Source organism: Homo sapiens, chromosome 11, assembly GCF_000001405.40.
Source record: "Homo sapiens chromosome 11, GRCh38.p14 Primary Assembly".
NCBI lineage: Eukaryota > Metazoa > Chordata > Mammalia > Primates > Hominidae > Homo > Homo sapiens.
The window spans coordinates 14,406,612-14,408,234 of record NC_000011.10 but is presented as its reverse complement, the minus strand read 5'-3'; the positions used below and the strand labels follow the sequence as shown (position 1 = coordinate 14,408,234).

General features: G+C 40.7%; 1 annotated feature.

Moving 5' to 3' along the window:
- Positions 465-1,143: an enhancer, noted in NCBI's record as "OCT4-NANOG hESC enhancer chr11:14428638-14429316 (GRCh37/hg19 assembly coordinates)". NCBI's record gives its function as "activates a minimal SCP1, AML or CMV promoter by ChIP-STARR-seq in naive H9 embryonic stem cells {active_cell/tissue: H9 hESC(naive)}" and the evidence as "EXISTENCE:reporter gene assay evidence [ECO:0000049][PMID:30033119]".

The following is a 1,623-nucleotide window of genomic DNA, read 5'->3' as shown; positions in this document are numbered from 1 at the left end:
AAAAAAACAATAAACAAAAAAAAAAGTGAGGGAAAGTTGCATCCTCCACTTCCACTCATAGTCCATTGGTCATACATTAATTCCAAGGTCACATCTAGCTGCAAACTGACCAGGAAATGAATGGCCATTTGCCCAACTTAACCTCTATTACTATGAAAGAAGAGGTGAATGGATTTAGGGAGACAATTGGGAGTGTCTGTCATGAGAAGTCTTATAATAAATAACCATCACTCAGGAGATCTAAATGTAACCCGAATTATTATGCCCAAACCACTAAGTTCCACCAATTAATTCCCAGAAAAAAGTTGTCCTCATGGATTCTCCCAGCTATTTCTGAAACTGTTTCAGGGTGCTATTCCATATGTATTCAAGAACAGGTCCCTCCTCAATATAGCAAGATATACCCAAATTACAGATGCTCATACCTATCAGGGAACCTGCCCCGATATTCACGTAGGTTCTTTTCTATTTTTGCTAAGCATTGGCCAGCTTGAGAAATAAAGGGACAGAGTACAAAAGAGAAAAATTTTAAAGCTGGGCATCCAGGGGAGATATCACATGTTGGTAGGTTCCGTGATGCCCCACAAGCCGCAAAAACCAGCAAGTTGTTATTAGAGATTTTCAAAAGGGGAGGGAGTGTGCGAATAGGTTGTGGGTGACAGACATCAAGTACTTAACAGGGTAATAGAATATCACAAGGCAAGTGGAGGCAGGGCGAGATCACAGGACCACAGGACCGAGGCGAAATTAAAATTGCTAATGAAGTTTAAGGCACCATTGTCATTGATAACATCTTATCAGGAGACAGGTTTTTGAGATCAACTGGTCTGACCAAAATTTATTAGGCGGGAATTTCCTCTTCCTAATAAGCCTGGGAGCGCTATGGGAGACTGTGGTCTATTTCACCCCTGCAGCCTCAACCATAAGAGGCAGGTGCACCTGAGGGGGCTGTTTATAAGCCTATACCTCCAGGCGCGTATCCTCTTTCCCAGGGATGTTCCATGCTGAGAAAAAGAATTTAGTGATATTTCTCCCATTTGCTTTTGAAAGAAGAGAAATATGGCTCTGTTCTGCCTGGCTCACCAGTGGTCAGAGTTTAAGGTTATCTCTCTTATTCCCTGAACAATTGCTGTTATCCTGTTCTTTTTTCAAGGTGCCCACATTTCATATTGTTTAAACACACATGCTCTACAATTTGTGCAGTTAATGCAATTATCACGTGGTCCTGAGGTGACATACATCCTCCTCGGCTGACAGGATTAAGAGATTAAAGTAAAGACAGGCATAGGAAATCACAAGGGTATTGATTGGGGAAGTGATAAGTGTCCATGAAATCTTTACAATTTATGTTTAGAGATTGAAGTAAAGACAGGCATAAGAAATTATAAAAGTATTAATTTGGGGAACTAATAAATGTCCATGAAATCTTCAGAATCCACGTTCTTCTGCCATGGCTTTAGCCAGTCCCTCCATTTGGGGTCCCTGACTTCCCGCAACACATACCCTTTGACCCAGCAAGTCTACCTGTAGGAATTTCTCCAGTAGATATATTTACCCACATGGGAAATTAAATACGCATTGTTCATAAAAGGAAAATATTTAAAAATATATAATGTCCCAGTC